At 60.0% G+C, this 14049-nt stretch overlaps 1 protein-coding gene across 5 annotated transcripts in view, besides 6 other annotated features; it reads left to right on the forward strand.

The window, feature by feature from the left end:
* ASPSCR1 (ASPSCR1 tether for SLC2A4, UBX domain containing) overlaps nt 1-14049 on the forward strand; it is a 39778-nt gene that overhangs the window by 15000 nt on the left and 10729 nt on the right. For 4 of the 5 annotated variants that reach the window (NR_045351.2, NM_001251888.2, NM_024083.4 and 1 more), the window contains 3 exons: nt 2193-2250; nt 3364-3437; nt 3792-4218. Coding sequence is in view for 3 of the 5 variants with exons in the window: in NM_001251888.2 (NP_001238817.1) it covers nt 2193-2250; nt 3364-3437; nt 3792-4218 (559 nt within the window). In the remaining 2 variants the exon portion in view is untranslated. Of the gene's footprint in view, nt 1-2192; nt 2251-3363; nt 3438-3791; nt 4407-14049 lie in introns of all 5 variants that reach the window. The other variant, XR_001752618.3, reaches the window with a different exon arrangement.
* Nucleotides 1395-2102: an enhancer, noted in NCBI's record as "H3K4me1 hESC enhancer chr17:79951899-79952606 (GRCh37/hg19 assembly coordinates)". NCBI's record gives its function as "activates a minimal SCP1, AML or CMV promoter by ChIP-STARR-seq in naive H9 embryonic stem cells {active_cell/tissue: H9 hESC(naive)}" and the evidence as "EXISTENCE:reporter gene assay evidence [ECO:0000049][PMID:30033119]".
* Nucleotides 8433-9080: an enhancer, noted in NCBI's record as "H3K4me1 hESC enhancer chr17:79958937-79959584 (GRCh37/hg19 assembly coordinates)". NCBI's record gives its function as "activates a minimal SCP1, AML or CMV promoter by ChIP-STARR-seq in naive H9 embryonic stem cells {active_cell/tissue: H9 hESC(naive)}" and the evidence as "EXISTENCE:reporter gene assay evidence [ECO:0000049][PMID:30033119]".
* Nucleotides 10529-11050: an enhancer, noted in NCBI's record as "H3K4me1 hESC enhancer chr17:79961033-79961554 (GRCh37/hg19 assembly coordinates)". NCBI's record gives its function as "activates a minimal SCP1, AML or CMV promoter by ChIP-STARR-seq in naive H9 embryonic stem cells {active_cell/tissue: H9 hESC(naive)}" and the evidence as "EXISTENCE:reporter gene assay evidence [ECO:0000049][PMID:30033119]".
* Nucleotides 11051-11572: an enhancer, noted in NCBI's record as "H3K4me1 hESC enhancer chr17:79961555-79962076 (GRCh37/hg19 assembly coordinates)". NCBI's record gives its function as "activates a minimal SCP1, AML or CMV promoter by ChIP-STARR-seq in naive H9 embryonic stem cells {active_cell/tissue: H9 hESC(naive)}" and the evidence as "EXISTENCE:reporter gene assay evidence [ECO:0000049][PMID:30033119]".
* Nucleotides 11573-12094: an enhancer, noted in NCBI's record as "H3K4me1 hESC enhancer chr17:79962077-79962598 (GRCh37/hg19 assembly coordinates)". NCBI's record gives its function as "activates a minimal SCP1, AML or CMV promoter by ChIP-STARR-seq in primed H9 embryonic stem cells {active_cell/tissue: H9 hESC(primed)}" and the evidence as "EXISTENCE:reporter gene assay evidence [ECO:0000049][PMID:30033119]".
* Nucleotides 12884-13390: an enhancer, noted in NCBI's record as "H3K4me1 hESC enhancer chr17:79963388-79963894 (GRCh37/hg19 assembly coordinates)". NCBI's record gives its function as "activates a minimal SCP1, AML or CMV promoter by ChIP-STARR-seq in naive H9 embryonic stem cells {active_cell/tissue: H9 hESC(naive)}" and the evidence as "EXISTENCE:reporter gene assay evidence [ECO:0000049][PMID:30033119]".

Raw genomic sequence — 14049 nt, forward strand, 5'->3', positions numbered from 1 at the left:
TCCCCCTTCCTGGCCCTGGGGGCTGTGCTTCCTTGAGGCCTCTCTCTGCCTCTGTCCGGGTTCTGCTCCGGCGCATTTTGAGGCCTTGTGTTTTCCTGAGCCCTGCGTCTCGGGGCCTCTGGGCCGAGTCTCCAGCCATTTGGAGGGAAGGCAAATCCAAGGCCCTTTGTTGGCTGCTCTGTGGGACGGGAGCTTAGGGAGTGTGTCCCAGCCTGTGCGCAGAGGACACCCGCCGTGTGTGTGGTGCGCACGTGCTCCACAGGCTAGAGGCCCTTGGGGAAGGGGCTCCCCTGTAGGCAGTGGACCCAGGGAGACCATGGGGCTAAGTCCACGACCCTGTGGGGCCTCTGCAGCCAGACCAGGCTGTCAGAGTCGGGGCCTGGGTGGGAAAGGGATGCCCCTCCCCCAGGATTGAGGACGTGAAAAATAAAGGCCACGAAACAAAAGAAAACACGTCAAACCCACACACGTGGCCGAGTCCCCAGGTGTCGGGGCTGGGCCTGTCCTGGGTGTGGCACCTTGGGCTTTTCTGCTTGGTCTGTTCTCATTTCAGGGAGGCAAGTCCTGCCCTTTTTTTTGTTTTGTTTTGTTTTGTTTGTGTTTGAGACGGAGTCTCGCTCTGTCGCCCAGGCTGGAGTGCAGTGGCGCGATCTCGGCTCACTGCAAGCTCCACCTCCTGGGTTCACGCCATTCTCCTGCCTCAGCCTCCCGAGTAGCTGGGACCACAGGCGCCCGCCACCACGCCTGGCTAATTTTTTGTATTTTTAGTAGAGACGGGGTTTCATTGTGTTAGCCAGGATGGTCTCGATCTCCTGACCTCGTGATCCGCCCATCTCGGCCTCCCAAAGTGCTGGGATTACAGGCGTGAGCCACCGCGCCCGGCTGAGTCCTGCTCTTTCAAGTAGGTCAGCAGATCCCAGGGTCGGGGCACGGTGAGTGCACAGTGGACCCCTGCGGCCCTGTAAGCACACAGGTGGGTTCAGGCGGAGGCCGAGAGTTCCTGTCCCAGCATCCCGCTCTGTGCATGGATGTGCACGTATGTCTCGACCTGGACACTGCAGCACCCTGCCCTCTGACCCTCCCAGTACCCCCCATCCCGGAGGGTTGCTGCAAGCAGTTTCCAGCCCAGCTGTTACCTAATCTTTATCCCCTGTGTTCTGGTCACCAGCTCAGCCTGTGTCTTCCTGTCCCACCTGAGCCCTTGCAAGGCACACTGGCCATAGGGCCTGGCAGGGCACCTGCATGACCTGAGGCCGGCCCTGGCCTCCCCTTTGCCTAGGCTCTGGCCATCTGCCCCCTCCTCTCGGATTCCCCTCCCTGGAGAGGGACTGATGAGGGGCATCTGCAAGGAAGGCCTGAGAAGGGCTTTTGTTTTTCTCAGTGGGGAGGATTTCACGGTGGGGAGTTGGAAACGCAGAGGCAAGCCCGCCTCATGCAGCAGGTGCCACCAGCAGTTCACATGCTCTGGGGCTGGATGTGACGGCATGTGCCCGTCTCCCGGGCTGCCATGCACATCAGGCATGTGTGGGAGGCGTGCTGCATATACCTGCCCACCCATGCACGGGTCCAGCTGTGCCTCCTGCGGGGCGAGGCTCAGAAAGACACTGGTGGCAGAGTCCGACATGGACTTATAAGCACGGCCTCCCCGGCCACAGGCAAGCGGGCGTGAGCGGAGTGCAGCGCCCCTCCCTCCATGCTTCGGTGACATCAGGCGTCGGCTTTGAAGGAGGACATCAGGCGGTGGAGACAGGGGCACCTCCTCTTAGTGGGCGGCTTAAGATGAAAGCCCAGACGTCGGTACCCTGACTCTCAGGCTCCTGAGTACAGGTGTCCGTGAGCCGCATTCCGGAGCCAGTGCTGCTCGCCCCTCCTGTGCGGTCCCTGGGCCCTGCCGGCAGCTCCACGTCCTGCCAGCGGCCCCGAGACTGGAGGTCTCGGGGGGAGCCCCCAGGCCACGCACCACAGGCCAGGGTCCTTGGGAGCGCCCCCGGCTGTCAGGTGCCTCCTTTTGGTGGTTGTGGGGCGCAGTGGGGCTGAGGTCTGTGGCCTGGGCCTGGGCCTGGGACGCTGTCCTGGGTGGGTGCTGGGTGAGGGCCCCACACCTTTGCTTTCCGAGTCTCCTGCCCCAGGGCCTCCGTGGCACTGGTTGAGCTGCCCTGGGGTACCTGATGGTTTCTTTCCTCTCCTCCCAGGGAGTGCCTGCAGCACCCCGGCGGGGCCACCCCAGTCTGCGTGTACACGAGGGATGAGGTAGGCGGCCTGCTCTTGCTCACCCAGTCCCCGCTCACTTTCAGCCCACTTTCCAACTGGAAAATCTGCTGTCCCGCAGCCGTCTCCAGGGCAGTGGCGGGAGACTCGGGCTCTTGAAAGCACGACGTGTTTCATGGAAAAAGAGGGAGTGGCCGGCCCTCGGAGCCCGGGCTGCCCCGAAACCTCCCTCGGCGCCCTGTTTGTTTTTTCAGCTTCTCTCAAAGCCCAAGAGTCACAAAAGTGGTTTCATTTAATAAATATTTGCTTTGCTCGGTGTTTTGATCATTTTCAAAACCGAGTGTGGCGTGGCGCAAGCAAAGCCCGCCGTGGCGGGACCCTCCTAGCGCTCGTCCCTGGCCTCACAGGGGCCTTTTGTTTCCACGCTGGCTGAGTGCCCTTTGCTGGGGTGGGGGGGCACTGGCCCGGAGGGGCCCTGGGGGGCCAGGACATTCCCCGCATTTATCCCCATTTGGAAGCTCCCTGGCTGGGGCTGTGACGGGGAGGTTCAGGTCTACGTCCTCCCTTGAGGGGATGAGCCACGGGGCTCAGGACCCAGGCCCAGCACTGTCCTGAGGCTGTGGCCCTCAGGGACCCTTACACCCTTTGGCTTTTGTGCTGGGCCATTGACTGTGCCCTCGCTAGAGGCAGCTTCTCCACCCCTTCCTCACAGGTCAGAGTTAGCGTATGGGACGTGGCCAGCCAGGCCCGATCCCTGCCCACCCCGAGCTGAGCACCAGGAATGGCCACCCCCGTGGGTGACAGCACGTTCCTGCCTCTCTCGCTCCGGGCAGTGGGTCCTGGCACCAGGGCTTCCTCCTTGCAGCCCAGCTCTGCCAGCCCAGGCCTCAGTGAGCTTGGGTCCCAGCTGCGGAGACCAGGCTGGGGGAGACACGGTCAGGCATGGGCAGCAGGTCCTGCCCCGGCTGCAGACCAGACTCAAGCTGGGCCTTGTGGAGGGTGTGGACCGGCAGGGGCCAGATGTGGGGGGTGGGTAGGATGGAGGCCAGAGAGGGCACGTGGCCTGTGGTCCTGGTGGTGCCGGTGCCCGGAGGGCTTCCCTGGGCTCTGGGGTCCCGGTGCAAGGCGCACCTGTCCTGGCTGCTCCTCCTGCAGGTGACGGGTGAAGCTGCCCTGCGGGGCACGACGCTGCAGTCGCTGGGCCTGACCGGGGGCAGCGCCACCATCAGGTAAGGGCAGTGCTGCTGGGGCCGAGGAGTCTATTTAGCTAAAAAAAAAAGTGGTCTCAAAGGAAAGGAGAAAGGACACGTGGCAAGTGGGGAGTAGGTGTACCCAGGCCCTCATCATGGAGAGCGCCTGGTGGCCTCTGCCTGCCTGTGGGCGTGGGGGCTGGGCTGCCCCGACCTCATCTCTGTGTCCCCCAGAGGGGCGGTGGATCTTGGGAGGGCGCATGGGGCAGGAGAGGGTGAACCGGGGGCGGGAGAGGGTGAGCCGGGGGCGGGAGAGGGTGAGCCTGGGCCGGGAGAGGGTGAGCCGGGGGTAGGCACCACAAGGTGCTTCCCTTGTCCTCTGGCCCCACTCAGGTTTGTCATGAAGTGCTACGACCCCGTGGGCAAGACCCCAGGAAGCCTGGGCTCGTCAGCGTCGGCTGGCCAGGCAGCCGCCAGCGCTCCACTTCCCTTGGAATCTGGGGAGCTCAGCCGCGGCGACTTGAGCCGTCCGGAGGACGCGGACACCTCAGGGCCCTGCTGCGAGCACACTCAGGAGAAGCAGAGCACAAGGGCACCCGCAGCTGCCCCCTTTGTTCCTTTCTCGGGTGGGGGACAGAGACTGGGGGGCCCTCCTGGGCCCACGAGGCCTCTGACATCATCTTCAGCTAAGTTGCCGAAGTCCCTCTCCAGCCCTGGAGGCCCCTCCAAGCCAAAGAAGTCCAAGTCGGGCCAGGATCCCCAGCAGGAGCAGGAGCAGGAGCGGGAGCGGGATCCCCAGCAGGAGCAGGAGCGGGAGCGGGTAAAAGGGGCTCTAGGCCTTGGGACTTGGGGGTGTCCTTTCTCCTGATGTGTAGCCCTGCGTGGCTTTAGCTGGTCAGCCTGGTGGCGTGGCCGTGATGCGGGCAGAGGAACCCAAACGCGCAGAGGAACCCAAACGCGGGGCTCTGGACAGGAGCCTTCTGACTTCGCCCAGGAAGGAATTTAGGGGTAAGCAGGTGGTAGAGAAAGTAGCTTTACTGAGACGGTGGCTGTGTCTGCTCCGGGATGAGGCCGTGTCCGCTCCGGGATGAGGCCGTGTGGGCTCCGGGATGAGGCCGTGTTGGCTCCATGACAAGGCGGCAACTGTGTCAGCTCCGTGTTGGCTCCGTGATGTGTGGCACAGAGCAGGGCCGCCCTGGGGTGGTGCATGGAGGGCAGCAGCTCAGGGCATGGCCGTGGTCACATTTACATCCACTCAACTACATGCACGTTAAGGGGTGGGGCATTCAGAAATCTCTAGAAAAGGGGTGGTAACTTCCGGGTTATGGCCAGGGAAGGGGGAGCTGGTGAACGCATCAGCCAGTCTTCAATCTGGTCTGGAATCAAGCCCCACCTCCTACCTGAGCAGGGTCACTGGGCTTGTTCTTAGCTTCTCAGGCAAATGATTTTTTTTTTTCTGGGTTTTTTTTTTTTTTTTTTTGAGACAGAGTCTCACTGTGTCCCTAGGTGGGCGTACAGTGGCGCGATCTCGGCTCACTGCAGCCTCTGCCACCCAAGTTCAAGTGATTACTCCTGCCTCAGCCTCCCGAGTAGCTGGGACTACAAGCGCGCACCACCAAGCCCAGCTAATTTTTTTGTATTTTTAGTAGAGACAGGGTTTTACCATGTTGTCCAGGATGGTCTCAATCTCTTGACCTTGTGATCCACCCACCTCGGCCTCCCAAAGTGCTGGGATTACAGGCGTGAGCCACCGCGCCCAGCTCTTTTTTCTGGTTTTAAACCACCTTTACTGAGGCACCCACTTTTTTTTTTTTTTTGAGATGGAGTTTTGCTTCTGTCGCCCAGGCTGGAGTGTGGTGGCGCACTTTCGGCTCACTGTAACCTCCACCTCCCGGGTTCAAGCGATTCTCCTGCCTCAGCCTCCCAAGTAGCTGGGACTACAGGCGTGTGCCACCACGCCCAGCTAATTTTTGTATTTTTAGTAGAGACGGGGTTTCACCATGTTGGCCAGGCTGGTCTCGAACTCCTGACCTCAGGTGATCCGCCCGCCTCAGCCTCCCAAAGTGCTGGGATTACAGGCTTGAGCCACCGCGCCCAGCCTAATTTATTTTTATTTTTATTTTTCATAAAGACGAGGTCTCTCTCTGTTGCCCAGGCTGGTCTCGAATTCCTGGGCTCAAGCGATCTTCTTATCTCAGCCACCCAAAATGCTGGGATTACAATTGTGAGCCACCTCACCAGGCCTGAAAGTTACTTTTTATAATATTGTGGATAGTATCATGCTTCCTGTTACATCTTTGACTGGCTGACTCCTTGCTAGTTCTAGTGGCGTCTTGGTTTCTGTCGGGGCCTCTGCAGACCTTTCCCTTTGTCCTCTCATCGTTTTTCTTCCTGTGTTGCAGCGAATGGGCCTCTGGTGCTTTTGGATCGTGGCGATCTTAGTAGACATCCTTCCTTGTCTTGATCGTAACAGGAATTACTAGTCATTTCTCTGCCAAGGATGATGTGTGCTATAAAAAGCCTTTATCAAGCAGAGAAAGTTACTATTCCTAACTTTCTGACATTTAAAAAAATCTTAAGTGGGTGTTGAACCGTTTCAGTGTTTTCAGCATCAATGGAGATGACCGTATGCTTTATTTTATTGGCTTGTGCATGTGTGTTCATAAGTGAGACAGACTTTTTTTCCTTGCTCTGTCTTCATCCAGTTTGGGAATCGAATTTCACCTGGCTCACAAGGGAGCTGGGCAGTGGCCCCTCTTTTCTGGGTTCTGGAAGTTCTCCGAAGGTTATGGCCACTGCTCACTGCAGACTACACCCACCACTGGGGCACTGGGCCCTTGGCGGGGAGTGCATGCAGGCAGGCGGCCAGGTGCTGACCTCCGAGCATGCCTGTGTGTGGCTGTGGCCTGACCCTCTCCCTCACGCCTCCCCCCAACCGTGGGGACCTCGTGTCTGTGGGGTCCCTGGCCCTGTGGCTGACTTTTCCTTTGTCCCTGTCCTGACCCCGCATCAGAGCCCTGCACCTGGGCTGCTGAAACCTGACTTCCTCAGCTTCCTCACCTGCAGAACTAAGGTGTTCGTGGCATTTATGGGTTTTGTGCCAAAAGAGGCAGACTGGGGGACTGTCATGCGGCTTTCGGTGACAGGGATGGGAGGAGGCTGTTTCCCAGCCCCTGTGTCCCCTGAGGGCCAGGCTGCCAGCTGCCAGCCACAGCCCAGGGGCCAGGTCAGAGCTTCTTGAGCTCCTGCTGACGTAGTGGGCCTGGAAGGCCCCCATGCCTCCATCTCCTGTGGACATTTAAAATATTTGTGTCTGGGCCTGTGGCATGGTGGCTCACACCTGTAATCCCAGCAGTTTGGGAGACCGAGGTGGGCAGATCACCTGAGGTCAGGAGTTTGAGACCAGCCTGGACAACATGGCAAAACCCTGTCTCTACCAAAAATACAAAAATTAGCTGGGTGTGGTGGCAGGTGCCTGTAATCCCAGCTACTCGGGAGACTGAGGCAGGAGAATCTCTTGAACCCGGGAGGCGGAGGTTGCAGTGAGCCGAGATCGTGCCACTGCACTCCAGCCCGGGTGACAGAGTGAAACTCCATCTCAAAAAAAAAAAAAAAAAAGAAAACAAGAAGTGGCCAGGAGGGCTCTGTGCACATGGCCCCGGCCTCGGCTGTCCCCTGGGCACTCGTGCTACGTGTCCCGGAACTCAGGTGAGGTCAGGAGTTTGCTTCCTCCTCCTCTGGCCACTTCTGAGTGAAGCAACCTCATGCCTCCCTCTTGCCTCCCGGCCACACACCTGGGAGGGCAGAGGCCGGGCGTCTGCACCGTGTTGGATGTGGGGGCTCCCATCTAGCCCGGCGTCAGGGTCCAGCCCCTCTGTTTTCTGTCCCCCTGGCTGTCCTGGGACTGTTCCTGTTGAGTGGACAAGGGAGTGGGGAGTGAGGGTGTTGGGTCCATTCTAGGACTATGATGGTGTTGGCACCCCATCCTCCCTCTGGGAACTCTGCCAAACTCTGCACTGTGACACCTGAGTCCCCATGAAGCGCTCGTGCCCCTCGACCCGTGTGCTCCGGGTGAGCAGGGGCTGACCCCCTCTAGGCCTGCTCTTGTGGGGACCCCTCAGTGTGAGAGACACAGTGGCTGTCATGTTCCCCCATTCTAGAGGCGTGGGCCTCAGCCCCTTCCCTCCGTGACCAGGGCGGGTCTTGTCTGCAGAGCGTGGGGCGTGGAGCATGGGGCTCGCAGCCCAGAGTAGTGCCCGCCCGTGCTCGCCCGTCGGGAGGCGCTGTTGGGGTGGGGTCTTGGCTGGCAGGAGGGGTCCAGGGGAGGGAGCGTGTGCCTGGCCTGCATGGCGTGCTGAGGGCCTTTGATCTGGGACTTGGGCAGCTGATTGATGGAGGGCGTCCTGCCTGCCCCGCGCCTCCCATCGCCGCCAGCCGCACACGCAGAGGGCCCGGGGCCACATGCCGCTGCTGGGTCCCTTTCAGTGATGGGGGGAGGGGAGAAGGGAACAAAACAGAACTTTTTTGGGGAACTTCAAAGGTACACTTTAGTAAGCAAAAAGAGTTTCCAAGTTTCCCATTAATGTTTTGCCTGTGTGTGGTTTTTGGACTTAAATAAAGAGTCAGAAGGAAGAGACAGGATAAAATACAGGCAGGTCCTCGGCCGAGACCCGGGGTGGTTCACAGACCCGGGCGGTTCCTGCCTTTGATGTCAGGCATTAATTATTAGAAGGTAGTTTTACTGGCGATCAGAACCGGGCGCTGGGAGAGGCTGGGGCTGCCCGGCGCCCCCTGGCCCTGTCTTTGAAGTGCCTCCACTGGCTGGGAGGCTGCCCTGCAGCCCTGTGCTGGGCTGGGACGCCAGTCCCAGCAGACGCCCCCCACAACTCGGCCTCCCGGCAGCTGGCACGAGGGCCGCTCCTGATCAAAGGCTGGGTCTGCCCGCACGGGCTGGCGGCTGCTGCCCTGCCTGCCCCTCCCGCCTCGGGGGTGAACCTTGCTCCTGGAGCCGGGGCCTGGGGTTTCCTCAGCACCCCTGCTCACACCCGGCCCTCTGTGGCTGACAGCCGGTGTGGGACTCGTGGGGCGGGGAGGAGCCTGTCCCAGGGTTTTGGGGGTAAACCAGCGGGGAGGAGGCTGGGCCTGGAGCGGGTCATGCACTGGGCGTGGTGAATACACCCTGCCTGGGACCCCCGTGTGCCTGGCAGGGCAGGTGCTGTTGACCCTGGGCAGTAGGTATTGGGCCAGGGGCTCCTGCCCCTGGACCCTGACGCCGGGCTAGACAGGAGCCCCCACATCCGACGCGGTGCAGACTCCCATCCCTGCGGCCAGCACAGTCAGTGGCCAGGGTGGCCCAGGTCCCTGCTATGCCTCATGGGTGTCTGAGGACAACCCTGGGCTCTGAGGCTGTCCCTAGGGGCACAGCCTGTGGCCTTGATTGGAATGGCCACCAAGCGTGGCTGGCAGATGGCTCAGCGACTTTGCAGGTGGCTGGCTGAGTCCCGGCTGTTTAGAAGCCTGGTGACTGACAGGCGCTTGTGTTTTGGTGAGGAACCCCGGGGGGTAGGGGGTGGATGCTCGCCACTGGGGCTGTGGGGAGAACTGGGAGTGTGGGGCTCCGTACTGGGCGAGTCGGCTGCTGCAGGGCGCAGACCCCACTGGCCCCTTCTGGCCTGGACTCTCCTCCCCGTTGGGCCCAAGATCCCCTGGTTGGGATTGTTCCAGGAACTCAGGTCAGGGGCCCCGTCAGCCCTTCCCGGGCTCCCCCAGGAGCAGCCTCCAGACTCTGCCCTGCGGATGACCCCCCTCACCAAACTGCTTTTCCTGCCTGTCCGGGGGTGTTGGTGCGCTTTATCCACAGTGACACACGCCTGCCACACCGTAACGTGCCCAGCTCCAGACGGGCTCATGGTCAGCCCAGGCTGCAGCAGTCCTGAATCCTGTTCTTATTTTTCTTTTCTTTTTTTTTTCTTTTTCCTTTTTTTTTTTTTTTTTTTTTTGAGACACAGTCTCGCTCTCTTGCCCAGGCAGGAGTGCAGGGGCACAATTACGGCTCACAGCAGTCATGACCTTCCATCTCAGCCTCCCGAGTAGCTGGGACTGCAGGTGTGAGCCACTGCACCTGGCCTCTTTTCATCTTCTAAAGTATTTTTCTTTTTAAAATTAAAAAGTGATTTTTTTTTCTTATGAGTACCTCATGCTTTATATTTTCATCTTTTCATTTTCATTTTATTTTATTTTATTTATTTTTTTGAGACAGTCTCGCGCTGTCACCCAGGCTGGAGTACAATGGCACGATCTCGGCTCACTGCAACCTTCCCCTCCCAGTTCAAGTAATTTTTCTGCCTCAGCCTCCCGAGTAGCTGGGATTGATTACAGGTGTCTGCCACCTGTAATTTCTGTGTTCTTTGTAGAGAAGGGGTTTTGCCATGTTGGTCAGGCTGGTCTCGCACTCCTGACCTCAGGTGATCCACTTGCATCGGCCTCCCAAAGTGCTGGGATTACAGGTGTGAGCCTCTGTGCCCAGCCTATTTTTATTTTTATTTTTATTTTTTGAGACAGAGTCTCACTCTGTTGCCCAGGCTGGAGTGCGGTGGCATGATCTCAGCTCACTGCAACCTCCACCTCCCGGGTTCAAGTGATTCTGCTGCCTCAGCCTCCTGAGTAGCTAAGAGGCGCCTGCCACCATGCCCGGCTAATTTTTGTATTTTTAGTAGAGATGGGGTTTTACCATGTTTGTCAGGCTGATCTCAAATTCCTGACCTCAGGTGATCTGCCTGCTTTGGCCTCCCAAATTGTTAGGATTACAGGCGTGAGCCACCGCGCCCGGCCTGTTTTCATCTTTTTAAAATAACTTTTTTTTTTTCGAGACAGGGTCTGTCTATGTTGCCTAGCCTGGAGTGTGGTGGTGCGATCTCTGCTCACTGCAACCTCCACCTCCTGGGTTCAAGCGATTTTCGTGTCTCAGCCTCCTGAATAGCTGGGATTACAGGTGCCCGTTTAGTAGAGATGGAGTTTTCATCATGTTGACAGGCTGCTCTTGAACTCCTGACCTTAGGTGGTCTGCCGGCCTTGGCCTCCGAAAGAGCTGGCATTACAGGCGTGAGCCACCGTGCCCAGCCTAAAATAACTTTTCTTGGCTGGGTACAGTGGCTCGCACCTATAATCACAGCACTTCGGGAGACCGAGCTGGGAGGATCTCTTGAGCCTAGGGGTTTTAGACCAGCCTGGGCAACATAACGAGACCCCATCTCTACAAAGGAAATTTAAAAATTAGTAGGGCGTGATGGTGTGTGCCTGTAGCCCCAGCTACTTGGGAGGCTGAGACGGGAGGATTGCCTGAGCCTGAGAGATCAAGACTGCAGTGAGCTGAGATTGCACTGCTGCACTCCAGCCTGGGCAACAGAGCGAGACGCTGTCTCAAAACAGAAACATCTCTGCTTTGGGCCTTCCTTGTTGGCCTCTCCCCAGCCATGTGGCCACTCGCTGGCAGGCCCGGGCCATGAGCATCGGTGCGGATGCTGTGCTCAGCCTGGGGGCGGCGCCGTCTCCTCTGGGTGGGATTCGAGGCCTGATGCCTCTGCCTGGTGCAGGAGGGATGTTGTGCTGAGGGTGTTCCCCGTGCTTTGGATGTAAAATTTGGGCATGGAGTTTGTGGTGTCTTCAGAGGCAGTCCCGCCTGCGTCCTTTGTGCATGCCTGTCCACGCCGGTCGCAGCGGTCTCCCCACAGAGCCCGCGCCCACGCCCTGGCACAGCCTCTCCTGCTGTGCACGTCCCAGGCCTTTGATGGCGTCCACGTGCTCCGCCGCCTGCCTCCGAGGGTGGCCGGGGCGCTGAGTAACTCGGGAGGTTTGGCCCGTGTCTGGCGTAGTGATTCATTGAAGCTCAGAGCCTCCAGGGGAAACTCCACACTCCCTCTCACCGGAGCCCTGGCGGGGCAGGCCGGGCCGAGACGGTGGGAGGGAGGGAGGCCGGGAGGGAAAAACACAAACCCTCAGAGACGCTGGAAACTCTGAGGTTGGGGCCACCTCCGAATGGGTTCACATTTTTCCTCTGTGTGTCATCACATCCTGGAAAATTACTGTCAAGAAAAGGAGACCTCTGGGCAGTGTCCCGGCCTGTGTGCATGCCCCTGGCGCCCTCACCCTGCAGCCCCCAGCCTCCCTCCCCTCGGTTTCCCAGCTCAGCGGCCCAGGGATGCCCCAGCACTGTCTGCTGTGAGGCCGCGCGCCCGCAGGGCTGCCCCCGGCATCCCGGACAGCGTCCCTGTCCTTAGTCCTGCCCGTCCTTTCTGGCCTTTCTCCGGCCCCCTTCCAGTTTCGGGGCATCTGGATAAATGGTTAGCATCATTGTGGTCCGGTCCTTGGCGGCCCTCCTGGAGGCCGGGACCTGGGGGTCCACCGGGGGCCTGGGTTTGCAGGAGACAGGAAGGGGCTAAAGGGGCAGAAGCATGCAGGGGCTTCACCTGCAGGAGGAGTCGGGTCTTTCACAGCTGCCCGGCCACCCTCGGAGCCTGAGAGGCCATCACACCTTTCCCTCATGGTGCCAGCTGGACCCTCCACGCTCCTTGCCTCCTTGTGTGTCATGTGGCAGCCACAGGCACCCCCACCCTGTGGCGCATTTTGAGCTTCTGGGGAGCTCAGCACACACAGCCCCTGTGAAAGTGCAGTGCCGGCTGCTGGACCCTGCTGTGCCCCCGGCATCACCCCTGTCCTCTGAGACCTCTGACTCTGCCCAGCAAGAGGGGCAGGGTCGGGAAGAAGGGAGTGTGGGGCCTTTGGAAGCCGGGCCCAGGCAGTGAGGCGGAAACCAGGCTGGGCTCAGCATGGCGAGCTCCTCCTGGTGAAGGCACTGGTGTCCGGGGGCATCAGCGGCACAGAGAAGGTTCTGGGCTCCATCTCCTGAACCTGTCTGGAAGAGCCCAGCTGCTCCCATGGACCTGCGACCTGCTGCCCGGGGCCGGGGGTCTGGGCCTCTTTGCATCGGCTCAGGGGAGGCCATCCGTGGCTGGGCGAGGGTCAGCTGCCATTTGGATGCCCCGGCAGCCGTGGGGCTCTCGCCTCTGCCAGAGCAGGCAGCTTCCGAGGTGGCAAGGGCTTTGGGGAGCAGCGGGAGGCCTGGGGGTGCCGAGTGTTCCGGAAATATTGCTGGTTCTTCTGGGGCAGTCCTGGCCCGCTGGGCAGAGCAGAACACGGCCTCTGCTCAGTGGCAGGGTGGGGCGCCGGGGTGGCGGAAACATGAGGCCGCGTGAAGTGGGCATCAGTTGGGCCCTGGGGTTTGGTCTCGGAGGCCTGCGGGGCAGTGGTCCCCCGGCTCTTGCTGCCCTGCGGTTCAGTTCCTCCTGCTGCAGCGCCTGTGTGCCCCGTGGGTCGGCAGGTCTCGTGAGAGGCCTCATCTGAGACAGGAAGCCCCACGCAGGCTTCTGGAAGGCTCCTCCTGGCTCTCAGCCACCCCGTTGGCTGAGTGAGACTGACCCCAGCAGCTTCCTGAGGCGTGGCAAGGCCCCCAGGGACACCTGGCGGCCACACACCTGGGGGACCCCACCAAGGCTGAGACCCAGGTTGGGGCCCCCTGCACTGCTGAGGTTTGGGCCTCATTCCCCGCTGGCCCTCCGTCTGCTTGGGAGCTTTCCAGGTGGGGATGTTTGTAGGGACAGTGGTATGGCATCCAGTTGCCTCCTCCCTGAAACCTTCAACCCGAACCTCACTCAGCACAGAGAATTGGGGGCCAGACCACGGCGGACGGAGGCGTCCTGCTGACACAGCCCCTGTCGGGATGTGGGAAGGGGCGGAGGCACAGCTCCAGCCCCAGCGTGACCGTGTGTGTGGGAAAACCGTCCGGGTACTTGGGGACAGCAGGGACATTTCCAGTGTGGGTGTGTGAGAGCCACCTCCCCCATGCGGTGGGCCCTGGTGTGATGCTGGCAGCTGGGACAAGAGTCCTTCTCTCAGCAGATGCTGCTGTGCTCCTGGGGCACAGTCTGTGGTTTTCTTTTGTGTGCATGTCCATGCTTGGGTGTTGTGTGCATGTCCTTGCGTGTGCGTGTCCTTGCGTGTGCACGTGTGTGCTTGGGGGCGTGTGTGTGTCCTTGCGGGTACACATGCGTGCTTGGGGTGTGTGTGCATGTCCTTGTGGGTGCACGTGTGTGCACGGGTGTGTGTGTGTGCGTCCTTGCATGTGCACAGGTGTGTGTGTGTGTGTGTGTCCTTGCGGGTGCATGTGCATGCTTGGGGGGCGTGTGCGTGTCCTTGCGGGTGCACGTGCGTGTTTGGGGGTGTGTGTGTGTCCTTGCGGGTGCACGTGTGCTTGGGTGCATGCAGGTGTGTGTGTATATGCATGTCTGTGTGTGCACATATGTGCATGCATGTTTGCCCCAGAGCGGAAGGAAAGTGAATGCAGCCGAATGATCACATCTGCATGAGGGGTGTTCACTGTTGTGTCTGCCCATCTTTCTGTGGGCTGAAATATTTCAAAATAAGAAATTGAGGGGAAAGAGAAAGGAGGGTGCTTGTCTCTCTCCTTGCCTCCTGCTCCTCCTCCCTGTGTTGGAGGCTCCAGGACGCCTCACCCCCGGTTGACGTCATTTTTGGCCTGCACAGGCAGCCCGTTTCTTTTCTCCTGGCACCGGCGAGGAGGCTGGGGAGGGGGGAC

Source organism: Homo sapiens, chromosome 17 (assembly GCF_000001405.40).
Source record: "Homo sapiens chromosome 17, GRCh38.p14 Primary Assembly".
Taxonomy (NCBI): domain Eukaryota; kingdom Metazoa; phylum Chordata; class Mammalia; order Primates; family Hominidae; genus Homo; species Homo sapiens.